Raw genomic sequence first — 16,035 nt, 5'->3', positions numbered from 1 at the left:
GAGCCTGGAGTGAGGGAAATGGGAGAGAGCACAGAGTAGACACTGAGGTTGAAGCCAATGTTGCAAAAGGCAGAGCAGAGAGACTGCAAGAAGTCAGGTCACAAGTGACATCATTTGAACTGCTGGATCAAGCTGAGCCTGAAGTACCTTTGGACTTCTCAGTTGCACGAGTCAATATATACCCTTTAGTGTTCAAGCCCATTTATGGTAGGTTTTCTTTCATTTGCAACCTAAAAGACCTGACTGATAATCCATGAAGAGGACAGTTGTCCTCATGGGAGCTGGAAACAGGCAACCTTTTGGAACCAAATTTCTCTGTCCCTCTTTCTCTTAGAGCACAGGGCCACTCCTTCACAGATTGTCTCTGTGTGCACTGTGCCTCTATTTTCTTCTCTCCCTCCCAGCAGGCATCCTTACAACCTTGCCCTTTACAGTCACCAGCCACAACTTGTCCCCAAGACTCCTCTACCTTCCATTTCCCCTGACAGCCTTGCCTCTGTTTCCATATTCCAGACTCCCGAGAGAAAAATCTGGTTGGTCTAGCTTATCTTTTCATGTGAAGCCATTCAGATCATCAGCTGCTGTCCTGCCTTGCAAGGCCGCCTAGGGTTGGACACCCATCTCTTAGTCCAATCAGCTGTGGCTGGGGACAAGTCTCAGGAGGGCAGTGGGCAGCACAGAGAGGGGCCTATTTCCCTTAGGGACATCTATGGGCATGGTGAAAGTAACTGACACCTCTAGTGTTGGGTGCTCAACACAGAAAATTCAAACAAGCTGCGGAACATGTTTGCTTTAACATTGGGTGAAAAAAAAACATTCGGACAAACGAATTCAAATATAAAAGGGAGAGTCTGGGGGAAGGGTGTCATCTAAAACAGGAGTTGGCAAACTTTTTTTTTGTAATGGGCTAAATAGGAATTTTTTTTGAGGGGGGCTGCTTCGTGGGCCGTAGGTTCTCTGTCTCAACTACTCAACCCTGGTATTATAGTGCAAAAGCAGCTATAGATAATATGTAAACAGAGCAATATGACTCTGTTCCAATAATACTTCTTTTAGTAGTAGTAGTAATAATAATAATAATAAGAAGAAGAAGAAGAAGAACTTGGTGGACCTAATTTGGCCTGTGGGACATAGTTTACTGGCCCTCATCTAGTAAATGAATTCTAGGTTCTCTCTAATCCTAATGAAACCTGTGTAGAAGGATTGTTGTAATGATTCCATAAAATAATCTATGCAAATTACCTAGCACCGTGATTGGCACAGGGTCGATGGTGTTGGCTGTTTTTGTTCTCTTTTTTGTCGAGTGGGCTCTCGGAATAACTGGGTTCCAGATCCACCAATGTGCTTGGCTAATCTAGAAGAGTCCCTTCATCTTCTCTGAGCTGAGCTGGAAGTTGATCATATCACTCCATATAGTGAGATGGGATTTCTAAGGAAAGGAGGTGGAGGACGAAGAGAAAGGTGCAGGCAAGGAGGACACAAGGAAATGTAGCGTGCATGAGTGCAAATCCACAGGGCGTCCGTGTGAGGCCGGCTTGGCTCTGCCTGGGGGCCTGGCAGGGAGCCCTGGGCTTGATTTGCAAACAAATTTGCTCTATTTCCTGCCAGAACAGGACTTCCAGGTGGCCAGGAATTTGGACTCCTTTACTAAGGATGGGAAAAATGTCCCTAGAGGGACAGTGCCCCACTTCCAGGATTCCCCAGAATGCAGCAGGAATGTGAGAATGAGATGTTCAAAGATAAGGGCTGCATTTCATTCACTCATGAATTCATTACAAATTTTATTCATTCATGCTGTGTAAAAAATATTGATTAGCCAGCTACTTTGTGCCAGGCACTGTACTAGCAAAACAGAAATGATTCCTCCTTTCAGGAGTTTAAAGTCCAGTGAGGGAGACAGACATTGATCAAACCACACAATCACACATATAAGTGAAAACAGAGTGAATATCAGGGAGCGACCGTATCTAGCATGAGTAGGAAGCCATCCTGAGAGTGAACTAACCAGGAGGAGGGAGGAGGTGAGCATTCCTGGATTTAAACCCCATGCACCAAGGCTCCGTGCTGGCAGAGCTGTAAGAAAGCCAGAGGGATGGGAGATCAGTGGGACGAGTGGGTGCATGGTGGAGGTGACCCTGGAGAGGTTGGCAGGGCCAGACGCTAGAGCACTGGGAGCTATCAAAGGGTTTTCTGCCAGCAACAAACATAACCAGGATTATGGTCTCCCTCTGGCTCCTGTGTAGGGGGTGACTAGCGAGGAGTCTAAGTGGACACAGGGAAACCTATCAGGTGACTCCCGAGACTGTCTGGGAAACACGGCCGTACCTGGGCCTCCAGAGGGGCAGTGGTCATGGAGCAAAGTGATCAGGAACTTTGTAGGCAGAAAATAGGATTTGGCCATGAGTTGGATATGGACAGTGAGGGAGAGGGCGATTCCCAGTTGGTATTGGCACCTGGGAGAAAAGCAGACACTGACTGAGATGGGCGATGCTGGCAGAGGACTAGATTTGAGAAGGATACACCCTGCATTTGTTGGATGTGTTGAGTTTGAGTTGTCTTTGAATCAATCTACTGTGGACAAATGTTTGTATCCCTTCAAAATTCAGATGTTGAAAGCCTAACCCCTGATACGATGGTATTCAGAGTGGGGTCTTTGGGGCATGATTAGATTATGAGGGTGGAGCCCTCATGAATAGGCTTAATGCCCTTATAAAAAGAGGAAAAGGCAGGGCGTGGTGGCTCACGCCTGTAATCCCAGCACTTTGGGAGGCCGAGGTGGGCGGATCACAAGATCAGGAGTTCAAGACCAGCCTGGCCAACATGGTGAAATCCCATCTCTACTAAAAATACAAAAATTAGCTGGGCTTGTTGGCGCACGCCTGTAGTCCCAGCTACTCAGGAGGCTGAGGCAGGTGAATCGCTTGAAGCTGGGAGGCGGAGGTTGCAGTGAGCTGAGATCATGCCACTGCCCTCAAACCTGGCGACAGAGCTAGATCCCGTCTCAAAAAAAAAAAAAAAAAAAAAGGAAGAGACACAGAATCTCTTTCTGTGCCCTCTGCCATATGAAGATACATGAAGATATATGAAGATACATCTGCAAACTAGGAAGTGGATATTCACCAGACACTGGATCTGCTGGCATCTTGAAATTGGACTTCCCAGCCTCCAAAACTGGGGGAAATAAGTTTGTGTTGTTTGAGCTACCCAGTCTATGGTATATTTGTTATAGAAGTCTGAGCTGACTACAACATCATCTAAGGGAATGCATAGACCAGGCAGGGGGATTTATGGAGCCAGAGTTTGGAGGAGAGGTCTGGGCTAGAGAGGTAAATTTGAGAACCCCTGGGTGTTGAAACTGCACCTGGCCTAGCCTTACACACTTGGCTGGTTTTACCTCGGGGGTCCTCAGGTGCTATCTCCAAGCCCATTTCCCACTGCTCCCATGCCCAGTAGCTACTCAGGGCAGAGGCAATGGCTCCAAGGTTGAAGGTGTCCGTAGCTTTGCTCTTCAAGTTTCAGATCCATGAGTCTCACTAAAAGAGAAAGTAGTTCCTTCTAAGATGGACATGTTGGCTAGAACCATAAATGGGCAAGTTTAAGATATTTCTTCACCCCATCTGCCCTTCCCTTGAGGAAGATCAGATCAATTACAGTAAAACAAAGGAACGATATTTTCTTTGCACGTCTAACGGAGTGAATCTGTGACCCTACTGTGCCCAGTCTTATTTGTCTCCCCAGCTAGAATGGAGGTAGGTAGGACCTTGTCTACCTTGTCTATTTTGCTCATCACTTTTCTTCTTAGCTTGCAGCACCATTCATGGCCCAAATGCACTCAAGGGATAATTGTTTTGTTTTGTTTTTGTTTGTTTTTTGTTTTGTTTTGTTTTTTTGAGATGGAGTCTTGCGTTGTCGCCAGGCTGGAGTGCAGTGGTGCGATCTTGGCTCACTGCAACCTCTGCCTCCTGGGTTCAAGTGATCCTCCTGCCTCAGCCTCCCAAGTAGCTGGGACTACAGGTTTGTGCCACCACGTCCAGCTAATTTTTTGTACTTTTAGTAGGGACGGGGTTTCACCATGTTGGCCAGGATGGTCTTGATCTCTTGACCTTGTGATCCGCCCGCCTTGGCCTCTCAAAGTGCTGGGATTACAGGCATGAGCCACCGTGCCCAGCCGAGATAATTGTTGAATGAATGAAAGACTGAATGAAGATCACAGGAGTGGAAAAGGATGTTTCTGTGTATAGAGTCGAGACCCTTCTGGAAGCTCTAGAAATGACCCCTTGCACGCACCGGGACAGCTCAGCTCCTGTTAAGCAAGTGCCTGGCAGCAAGCCCACTTGGGCTGCCGTCCGGAGGGCAGCTGCTTGCCCTGCTGGGGGCCTCGGCACCGTCTGGTCAGGAGGAGCTGCCTGCCTCATAGCTGCTCCCTGAGCTGCCTTCCCGAGCACGTCAGTGGGAATCCCCTGACAGGCAGGCCACAGGAGGGGGCAAGTGGTGAGCAGGCCGAGCTCGGAAGAAGCCAAACTGGGGTGCTTCCTGGAGTCTGCAGATTGGCCGTCATTGCCGATGGTCTGATACGAGAGCCAGAAGCCTAGGCCCGGCTCAGCCCACCAGGTAGAAGATCAAGAGGGAAGAGAGGAAGACAGAGGTGGAGGGTAGGAAGGAGAAAGGCATAGTGATTTTCGAGGGACTGCGGAGCCAGTTAGTGACACCTGGGTCTCCTGGGTCTCCCACTCACAGGAGATGCCAATGATACCTGCCAAGATCCCCTCTGACAATCGTGCACCATTCCCCGGCTGCTGTGGGTGTTGGGTGCCAAGGCTCAGACCTGGACCATTCTCCGGAGAATTGTCACCTTGCACAGAGGTGCTCCTCCCACCCCAACCATGGGACAATCCATAGCCAATTACTGATGTATAAGAGGTATAGAGGCTGAGCGCCTTGCCTTGAGGTGGGGAAACCCTGCAGTACCCTTCATGCCCCAGAGCTTCCCATGGGATCCGGCTGGGGCCAGACTTCAGCAGAACCTGCACCTCTACTTCTTCCTTGCCCAGCCTTCTCCTATGTCTCTTTACATACTTTAGAGCCCTTCTATGATAACACAACTGCACAAGACTTTTCCAACAGACCCAAGACATTCTCTCAGGCTAAAATTTGTCTCTCACCACTTGTTGAAGCCCTAACCCTTCATTTAGAACCCAAGTTTCTGAAGCTTCCAGAAACATGCATTTTCACATACAGGCAGGTGCCCCTACATCTCTTCACATCAGTGGCATGCCAACAAAGCATTCTCACACCACCCTTTGTCCACTGTATGAACTTGGACTAACAATTTGACTTCTCGGAGTTTCTATTTCTGCATCCAAAGACCTGGAATCCTAATACAGTCTTGCAGAATGGCTGTCAGACAGGGAGAGGCGGGGGTGCCCGGTGACAAAGAACCTGGCTTTAGAGTCACACACAGACCCGCCCAGCTCTGTGACCTTGGGTGCTGTGAGCTTCTCTGGCCTCCGTTTTCTCATCCATGAAATGAAGTTAATAATAGCACTGAAGCCGTAGGTGCCTGAACGCACTGGTTGCGTGCAAAGCACTTCACACGGAGCCTGGCCCACTTAGTGAATACGAGCCAGAGAGCTTAGCTCTCGCCTGGCACAGACTAAGTACTCAGTAAGAAGTGAGTATTGTATTTTTATTAATGGGAATGATATGTGTAAAGTCAGGTGGTAATAATGACAACAAATAGTCTTTGGATTTGTGAGAGGTGCCTGAAGAGTGTCCCAGAAGTGTAGCAGATGGACCTGATGAGGCCTGATGCATGGGATGTGGGCTGGGGAGTGGCAGGCAGATGGGGCCCACCTGGGCTCACTTCTCAGTCAACTGGTGTGAACCCTACGGCCACTGTTCTGCGGCAGCCCACCGCCGGTGGCTTACCTGCACGCCAGCCATTTGTCACCCTGTCATCACCTCCACACTTGAAAGCAGATCCCCAGGGATTGTGGACAAAGCACACAGAACAAGGAGCCACTTTTTTTCCCTCTAGGCCTGGAGAAGGGAAGGCAAGGATGGCACCCAGCAAAGAAAGACCGACGGCTTGTCCTTAGGGAGAGGGCATCTCAACAAGATGGGAAAGGGGTCAGGGCTCACAGGCAGATCCAGCCACCTCGTGTGTGTGTGTGTGTGTGTGTGTGTGTATGTGTGTGTGTGGTCTGCAAGCTAAGAATGGCTTTTGCATTTGTAAATGGCTGGAAAAAATCAAAAGAGGAATAATACTTTGTGAACATTATATGAAATCCAAATTGCAGTGTCCATAAATAAAGTTGTTTTGGAACACAGCTGCCCTCATCCCTTTGCTTATTGTTTCTGGTCACTTTTGTGCTACAATGGCAGGCTGAGTGGTTGCAACAAACTCTATGGCTTGCAAAGCTGAAAGCATTTACTATCTGGCCATTTTCAGATGAAGTTTGCTGACTCCTGACTAAGAGCATTGGGCTGACCAAGATTGGGTGGAAAGGAAAGTCACATCCCTCCTGCCTACGGTCCCCTCTCTCCCCACCCCTGCCAAAAATTCCATACCTTTTCAGTAAGCTTTCTCTTCGAATCATTGGTATTTTCTTAACATCTGGCTGATGCAGAGGGAAGTATCTGATTAATAAATTCGCACTAAGGTGTTGGTGACTTCATGTATTGCACCCTCCTTGTCCCAGGAGGTTGGACTATAGGAATAAATCTTTCAGTGGTGGCATTTGAGGAACTGTGGAATGTATCTGATTGTACGTGTGTGCATGCACATGTGCAACACACACACACACAGAGGGAGAGTGATTTGTAATTATAAAGGGTGGAAGCTTGGATGCTTCAGGGCCCGGGACCAGAGGAAATAGAGAAGTAGATTCTGTGGGGATGAACCATCTGGGAATGGGTAGTATGCAAGCCACATTATTGACTCCCAGAACCTCTAAGGGCAGGTTAGAAAAGGTGCCTTCCTTCTTGATGTGAACTCTAAGCTTCTATGGGCTGGGCATGGGAGCTCGTGTCCGTAATCTCAGCTCTTTGGAAGGCCGAGGCAAGAGCATCCCTTGAGGGCAGGAGTTAAAGACCAGCCTAGGCAACATAGCAAGACTCCAACTTTACACAAAAATTTTTTTAAATGAACTAGGCGTGATGGTGCACACCCATAGTCGCAGTCACTCAGGAGGCTAAGGCAGAGGATCGCTTGAGCCCAGGGGTTCGAGGCTGCAGTGAGCTATGATTGCACCACTGCACTCCAACCTGGGCAACAGAATGAGACCCTGTCTCTAAAAAAAAAGAATCAAAAATCGAAAAAAAGCAAATAGAGTGATGAGTACACAAAAAGGCAAACTTTACCACTATGCAATATTTCCATTAACACAATTTCACTTGTATCCCTAAATCCATAAAAATGCACAATTAAAAAAATAACAAATAAATCAACCTCTAGTACAAACCTCCCTTGATAGCACTGGGAGGTCTGGGAATCTGTGAACAAGTCATGACAATGGGGGTACTGCTCCCCCAAGGAGGTGGCCAGGAGGCCAGCCCCCCTTGGCTTGGCCCAGAGGACAGGTGACAGCTGGCTTTGTGCCCTTGCTGGCCTTGATGCTCACTGTGCGGGTCTTTGGTGCCCTGGGTGCCAGCTGCTTGCCTTTCCCCAGCGGTGCACTTTTGTCCTCTTCTCTCTGCTGCCTGCATCTGAAGGTCAGTCACAGCCCGGGATTGGGGCCAGGTCAGCCTGGCTACCGCAGTTCAGCATCACATAGACTGCGGCATCAGCCATTCTTCCTACAGGGCTTAATTGGCTGGACAGCTGCAGTAGGCTGTCACTCCAGCCTGCCACCTCTAGCCTCTGTTCTCTAAGTTGTGCTCTCAACCAAAACCAGGACGATTGTTCCAAAATGCCAGTCTCACTGCAGAACTCCTCGTTTAGAATCTTTGTTGGCTCTCCATCCCTGAGGGTGTACTCTCCTCCTCCCGGCCTCATCTCCCCCTACCACCCCTCTCAGTCTTCACTCCACCTCCGCGGAACTCCTCGAGGCTGCCGGAATGTGCCCATTGTTTCCCACCGCCTAGCTTTTGTGTTGCTGTGACCTGTGTTGGAAAAATCTCTTTCCCCAACTTGGCAACTCCCACCCCTCCTTCAAGATTCCCCAGAGCCTCCTTCTCTGACCTCCCCGATAGGATGACTGACGAGGGCTCTGTTAGAAGTTCCTGCTAGTTACATGCTAGATACCCCAATGACCCCTGTGACCCCAAACTCAGTACACAACCAGCTTCCAGACACATCCAGCTTCCTCTTAGTGAGTGCTTTCTATGGGGTTGGTGCTGGGCTGAGTACTTGTCTGGGTGATCTCATTTCATTCCCAGCTGCAAAGTGGGCCTCAGATACTTCCCACCCCTAAGGCTGTGGCAAGGAGTAAACAAGGGAATGTATGTTGGCCCAAGACCTTGTCCCTGTAAAAGCGTCATAAATTGGAGGAGTGATTAACAGCTGAAGCCAGCCCATCAGAGTTCTGCCCGGATCCCCTGCAATCCCGGTTACACGTTCTGGGCCTCCCCACTGAGCTTCCGTGGCTTTTGCTCCTCCCAGCTCACACCTGCTGCCTCTTCAGGGCCTGCCTGAGTCACTTCACCTGCACGGGACCCAGAAGGTCTCCCACAGGAGCAGGCTGGGGCAGGACTTTGCCTGATATCACACCTTTGGTGGCCTCTTTTCTTTCACTGTCCTGCCTCCCTTGCTTTCTCCTTGGCGTCTCCTGGTCGCACTTGCTTGGTAAGTCGTTTATACCCAAATCCTCATCTCAAGCTCTGCTTCTGGGGATCTGATCTAAGGCAGGGTTGGCAAACTTTTTTGTTAAAGGGCCGGATGATATTCTACACCTGGCACGGTGGCTCACACCTATAATCCCACGACTTTGGGAGGCCAAGGTGGGCAGATCGCTTGAGCCCAGGAGTTCGAGACCAGCCTGGGCAACATGGCAAAACCATCTCTACTAAAAAATACAAAAATTAGCTGGGTGTGGTGGCACATGCCTGTAATCCCAGCTACTTGGGAGGCTGAGGTGGGAGGATTGCTTGAGCCCAGGAGGTCAAGGCTGCAGTGAGTCATGAATATGCCCTGCACTCCACCTGGGCAACAGCGTGAGACCCTAAATAATCTCTCTCTCTGTCTCCTCTCTCACTCTCTACATATATATATATATATATATATATATATATATATATATATATATATATATATGTATATACACACACATATATAGTATATGTATATTCTAGGCTTTGTGGGCCATGTACTCTCTGTCACAACTACTCAACTCTGTAGCACAAAAGCAGCCATATGTAAATGAATCTGCATGGCTGTGTTCCAATAAAACTTTATTTATAGAAAGAAGAGGTGGGCCAGATTGAGTCTGAGGGCCATAGATTGCTGACCTTTGACTGAAGACAACACCCCTGGAAGCTTAGTGCTCTAAAGGTGAAATAGCCCACCCAAGGTCACACACTGGTGAGCAGCAGGGCCACAGATTGGCTCGGAAGCTCCTCTGCTGAAATGCCACCTGCAGCAGGGGTTTAGTACGCTGTGGTCCGTGAGTGGCTCCAGGTGTCTCCAATGATGAAAGAAACAATGCTGCAGGTGAGAAAGTTCTGACTGGCTTAATTAGAAGGAAGGGTAGCAAATATATGAGGGGGTGAACGCATCTTCCCCTAAAGCTCTGGGTAATTTCCACTAAATTATTAATTGGTTCATTTGCCTTCCTAGAGCACTGGGTGGACTGAGAACTCCTGGAATCCTTTATGAAACCAAATGTGTTGGAAAGATTTTAAAAATAGCACCAGGCCCTTTGACAAGTCTAGCGCTAATTACCCTGAAGCTCTGGCACTCCTGCTGATGTGCCACCGAAGCTTCTGCTGCGATCCTGCACCCTCCCAAGCCCCAGCTTTGCATCGTGAAGTCTTTGTTGAGAAGGGAGGTGAGGCTACCAGTATGTCCTAAATTTTCCAGCTCTGGCCAGGGAGCTGCCTCATTATAGGGGTCTCCAACCTGAATGGGACTTTAATGGTGATGTGCAGAACTTCATTTTCTGCACACGTTGGAGCGTAGGATGGGGGCGTAGAGGAGCTCAGGTCCCCTGTGCCCAGTGGCCGGCCAACCTGGAAAGCTTTCTGGTGAACTGTGTGTGTGCACGTGTGTGTGTTCATGTGCACATGCAAATTTTTTCTTTGCAAAAATCATTTATTTATTTTTTTTTGAGACAGGGTCTTGCTCTGTCATCCAGGCTGAAATGCAGTGATGTGATCATGGCTTACTGCAGCCTTGACCTCCCAGGCTCAAGCAATCCTCCTACCTCAGCCTCCCAAGTAGCTGGGACTACAGGTGCTTGCCACCATGCCTGGCTAAGTTTTTCATATTTTTTGTAGAGAGGGGGTTTTGCCATGTTGCCCAGGCTGGGCAAAAATAATTTATATTCATTGTAGAAAATATTGCTAAGCAAAACCAAGATGTACCACCCACAATCCCACTCCTTGGGTTAGCCGTTTTTAACATTTTCGTTTATTTTTTTCCAGTCTTTTGCCTCTGCATACATTTACATATTATTTATTACAAAAAATGAGATTGTACTATATGTATTGCTTAGTTTCAATGACATATTTTGACCATCTTTCCATGTCGTTGCACACTCTTCTACAATGTCTTTTAAAATGACCATACATGATTCATCCTTTGCATGTGTGTATTATAACTTTATTTTCCAGTTGCCTATTATTAAGGAGAAGCTGTTGTTTCCAGTCATTTTGCTATTATAAACAAAGTAGCTAGATCTTTGTTCAAGTTCCTGAAGATCTTCTTACATTTTTAGGTGTGGAGTTGCTGGGATTTAGGGGAACTTTGCGGGAGGTTGGAATCTTATTGATCTGTTCTAAGTTATCCATAGCTCCTTGGCACAGACACTCTAAGGAAATAATTAGAGGCACATGATTAAAGATCAAGTGGCTGGGTTTGAATCCCAGCTCTGCCTAGCAAAGGTTTGGGACCCTGGGCATATTCCTGAACCTCAGTTTCTTCATCTGTAATATGGGAACAACAGTACCCCACCCTGTCGTGTTGCTATGAGGTTGATGTGACCGCCTGGCCCATCTCCGACCTGGTTCTCCAGCTCTCACCTTGTCCCTACTCCCCAGCCTCACCAACGCAACATGGCAGCGGCTTGTCTGCCACAGGACCTTTGCACTTGCTGTTCCCACAGTGTGACACCTTCTTCCTCCAGATTCCATGTAGCTCTCTCCCTCCCCTCACTCAGGTCTCAGCTCAGATCACCCCTTTTCTGACCCTCTTCCCTTGCCATCATTCTCTATTACTTTACTGGGCTTTATTTTTCTTAGACTAGTTGTAATCTCTTGTCATCTTACGTATCTATTTGGTTTTGTCTATCCCCCCCTTCCCAAGAATATAAGTTCCTTGAGGACAAGGAGTTTATTTTTTTCTAGGGCCATGTCAGCAGTATCTGAATTATATTGCCTGTTGCATAGAAGGTGCTCAAACATGACTTTAATTTTTTTTTCCCTGGAGCAACTAAATACTAAATATCTGCTTTGTTTTCTCTGTACCTATTGCTAATACTTTCCACACTCACAAAGACTCTATCAATATAATTTCCTACAATGTTCAATTTGGTAGTTGGGTTCTCCCCCCTCCATCCCCATCCAGAGACCCCTGTTGAAGGAGAAGTTTAGTTACTCTTTAAGCTGGCTACAAAGCCATCATTCTCTGATTTTTTTCTTTCTCTTCTTCTTCTTCTTCTTTTTTTTTTTTTTTGAGAAAGGGTCTTGCTCTGTTGCCCAAGCTGGAGGGTAGTGGTATGATCTCAGCTCACTGCAGCCTCCGTGTCCTGGGTTCAAACGATTCTCATGCCTCGGTCTCCCCGGTAGCTGGGATTATAGGCGAGCACCACCATGCCTGGCCAATAGAGATGGGGTTTCGCCAGTTTTGAGTCTCGAACTCCCGGCCTCAAGTGATCCACCCACCTTGGCCTGCCAAAGCGCTGGGATTACAACTGTAAGCCACTGTGCCTGGGCCTAAGTTTTTGTTTTTTTTCAAGACAGGGTCTCATTTTGTCACCCAGGCTGGAGTGCAGTGGTGCAATCATGGCTCACTGCAGCCTCAACCTCCTAGGCTCAAGTGATCCTCCCACCTCAGCCTCCTGAGTAGCTGGGACCACAGGCAGGCACCACTACTCCTGGCTAATTTTTAATTTTTTGTAGACACAGGGTTTCACCATGTTGCCCAGGCTGTCTTCAAACTTCTGGGCTCAAGCAGTCCTTCCCACTTCAGCCTCCCAAATTGCTGGGATTAAAGGCGTTAGCCACTATGCTCACTCTCAAACATGATTTTAGAAATGAATGGATTTTGCATGGGAAGTACTGAGCACAGTGCCACTCCTGGGTTCATGTGCAATAAACTGTTATTCATCCCCTAGAAGGGCTGGATGGAATGATCTGGAAGTTGCCATGGCATGATCCTGTTAGATCTAGGCAGCAGAGATGCTCTGAGCAGACAGGAGGTGGGAGGGCGGGGGATGTCCTGTTTGATTGCTTCTCCAGCTCATGGTTGAATAGGCAATGGGGGGCTGTGGCCACGGTGCCCCACCCCTTACCCTCTTAGTTCCTTTCTTCTTGAGGATACTACCCCTTCTCCCTCAAAACACAGAACCTCCTCTTAGCTACTTCTCAACTAATCTCTTCCTGGGCTGTTCCACTTTAAATGGAAGCCAGGCAACCAGACGCCCGCAGAGAAGCGAGGGACCTTCCTTTTTCTGTCCCAGCGTTCCTCTTGAGCTGCAATTCTTCTTGTCTTTGCCTTCATCATTCACTCTGAGCCAGTGACTGAGCTACTCTTTTTTTTTTTTCTTCCTTTGAGATGGAGTCTCGCTCCCTCGCCCAGGCTGGAATGCAATGGTGCAGTCTTGGCTCACTGCAACCTCTGTCTCCTGGGTTCAAGTGATTCTCCTGCCTCAGCCTCCTGAGTAGCTGAGATTACAGGCATGAGCCACCATGCCTGGCTAATTTTTGTATTTTAGTGGAGACGAGATTTTACCATGTTGGTCAGGCTGGTCTCGAACTTCTGACCTCGTCATCCGCCTGCCTTGGCCTCCCAAAGTGCTGGGATTACAGGAATGAGCCACTGTGCCCGGCCAACCGAGCTACTCTTGAGGTAACTTGGATGGAATGCTCTTCTCCCTGTCTGGGCTTTTTCATACGTGCCTTTGCCCGGGGCCCTTTCCTCCTTCCTACGCACTCCTCACCCCATCCCAGCTAACACCTGCTCAGCCCTCAAGACTCAGGTTTCACCAGGAAAACACCCTTGACTCCATGCCTGGGCAGGTGACTCCACAGTTCCCACACATCTGCTCTCATGGTTTTTATTTTATTATTATTATTATTATTATTATTTAAATCACACCGGGTTGCCATTGTCTGCTTTTTTATCAGCTTCCTCATCAAAATTGCCTTGGTGACCACGGGAACACAGCATTCGTCACCATTTAACCTCAGTACCTTGCTCGACACAGAGAAGGTGCTTGATGTTATCTAGTGAATGAATGGATGATGATGACATAGGCCCTACCAGTGTCAGCAGGAACGTTTTCTGGGTGGGATGCCTGTTCATAGTGCATTGGTGGCAGGACCTGGAGTCTCTCTCTCTCAGGCCAGGCGCTATCCATGGTTTCTGGATAAAGCATCCTTTGTGTCTGGGGGAGTGACATCCTCTGCTCAGCGACAGACCCCATCAGATTCAAATGTTTTCAGCCAGTTTCTATAAATGGGAACGTTTTGATTGGACAGCAGCTGCCATGGTAACTGGCTGATTTTTAGAACGTGGGGACTGGGGACAGACAAGAGACCAGGTATCTTTGAAGAGGCTCTTTTTGAATTATTCCGGTGTTTGGAAGCTCATCAATGAGAACTGACTTTGCCCAAGTGCCCCATGATTGCAACGCTCAGTGCTTTCCTCTCTCTGGGCAGGGGTCTTAAGTGCTTTCATGGGTCATATTTGTGGTATTTCCAGCTTATCCTCTTGGATCCCAGGTTGTTTGGGGCTCAGATGAGGCAGGCTGAGATCTTCTTTGGTATACCAAGGTGATAAGATTGGCAAGGAGGTACAGAAAAACGAGGAGAGGAAGGTCACTTTCACTTTTAATATTTTGCTCCAAACATCCAAATGACCCTCCAGACTCCCTATCTGGAGCTTTATTAAGTGGCAGGACAATGCTTTTGAAGCACTAACTAATGTTATTTCCCCAGTGGAATTTATTTTCCCCATTCAGAGTGTGTGGCTATGTGGTCAACATTTCTGCAGCACATACAGCTGTGCATACCCATACAGCTGTTCAGGTTGTGCACTGAATAAGTCCACCCAGGCTTTGTGCACAATACTTCCTGAAATTGCACAACATGGTAGCCCTGGTAAGGGATGTGGTAACAAAGGTAAAGGGTGATGCTTCCAAGATTTTGCATACAAAATCCTGGCCTTAAGGGGAACAAAAGGAACTGGTAGCATAGATTATTGGTAGCGTTATTATTATTATTATTATTATTATTATTATGTCATCTACTAACAGATGTAAATATAAATAACATATAATAAAAAGAATGAGAGATATTGGCCAATTAAGAACAAGGATACTTTAGCCCAGTCTACATAAAGGTTCCTTGGGCTGTAGAAAGGAGAAGCAACAAGTGTATAGAAGTTAGTGGTTCATTGAGAAGAGGATCCTGCACTTTGCTCCCTGGGTCAAATCCAGGTTAGAGCAGGTGGATATGGCAAAAATCCTCAGGTCAGTTTGTGGAATCTAAGAGTCATGGTGACTCATTTCCCGTTTCCTGGGTGGAGCTCCAGAAAAAGAAAGGGTTGTATGGTAAATCCAATCTAAACAGTCAGGGCCTCTGAGGGTGTAGCCTGGTGGGATGAGTTCAGTGCTATGGATATGGCATCAGAGCTGGCCAGGGAGCTGCGGAAACTGAATGACCCCATGGCCAGAATGAGCCATGACTTAGCAGCCTTCTGTGAGACCCAGCAATGAGGGTGGCTGAGGTGATGGCTGAATCAGATCTCCCTGTACCCCCACCCCTCAACGCTCCTGGGAACTTAGAAGCGTATGTGGGGAAGTGGTGTTGGGGGTCATCACTTTGGCCAAGATTTGGCATGTGTTTTCTGGTGCAATGAGAGATCAGAACAGATTAAATTGTAGTAAAGAAAAATATGGTCATGTTTCTTGCAGTCCTCAGTCTTGGATGCAAGATTTGCTCCCACAACAACAAGCTGCCTTGAGATTCTCCAAAAGAGGCCTGCTTGGGTGTCACTGGCTTATACTAGTGATTTGTCCACCAGACTGCTGCTCAGAATCACCTGGGAAGCTTTGCCAAAACAGGTGCTTGGGCCTCACTTCAGACGTAGAGAATCAGAGTATCTGCAGGTTGGGGCTGGCCCATGCTAGCTGTTGGATGGATCAGTGCCTGCAAAGTAGCTAGTTGGAATCTTGGCTGAATTTGCTCTGTGCTTTTGTGAAAATTTCTTTCTCTTTTCCTATTTCCTTATCCATTAAATAGGTAAATCCTATCTCTTTTTGTAAATGACTCTGAACACTCAGAAATTATTCAGAGGAAAGATCTTAAAAGAAACATAGCAATGCTGTTCACTTAAAAGCATTTCGTGATTACTGTTTAAAAGCAGAAACCTTTCTTTGCCATTTGGCAAAGGACTCTTTTCGTTCATATTTTTATATTTTATTTATATTTATTATATGTTATTTATATTTATATCTGTTAGCAGATGATATAATGATAATAATGATAATTTTTGAAAAACTAGTTATCTATCGGGAGAGGGAAGGAACAGGTGAAGGGAACAGGGACAGAGGCTAGACTTCTTGGAAAGTACCCTTTTTTTTTTTTTTTCGAGACAGAGTCTCACTCTGTTGCCCAGGCTGGAGAGCAATGGCGTGATCTTGGCTTACTGCAACC

General features: G+C 47.5%; 1 annotated feature.

The window, feature by feature from the left end:
* Positions 14,401-15,600: an enhancer, noted in NCBI's record as "P300/CBP strongly-dependent group 1 enhancer chr16:71371582-71372781 (GRCh37/hg19 assembly coordinates)". NCBI's record gives its function as "activates an origin of replication core promoter dependent on BRD2, BRD4, P300/CBP, MED14 and CDK7 cofactors, with strong dependence on P300/CBP, by STARR-seq in HCT116 cells {active_cell/tissue: HCT116}" and the evidence as "EXISTENCE:reporter gene assay evidence [ECO:0000049][PMID:35650434]".

This window comes from Homo sapiens, chromosome 16 (assembly GCF_000001405.40).
Source record: "Homo sapiens chromosome 16, GRCh38.p14 Primary Assembly".
Classification (NCBI taxonomy): domain Eukaryota; kingdom Metazoa; phylum Chordata; class Mammalia; order Primates; family Hominidae; genus Homo; species Homo sapiens.
This window is presented reverse-complemented; position numbering and strand designations above follow the sequence as displayed.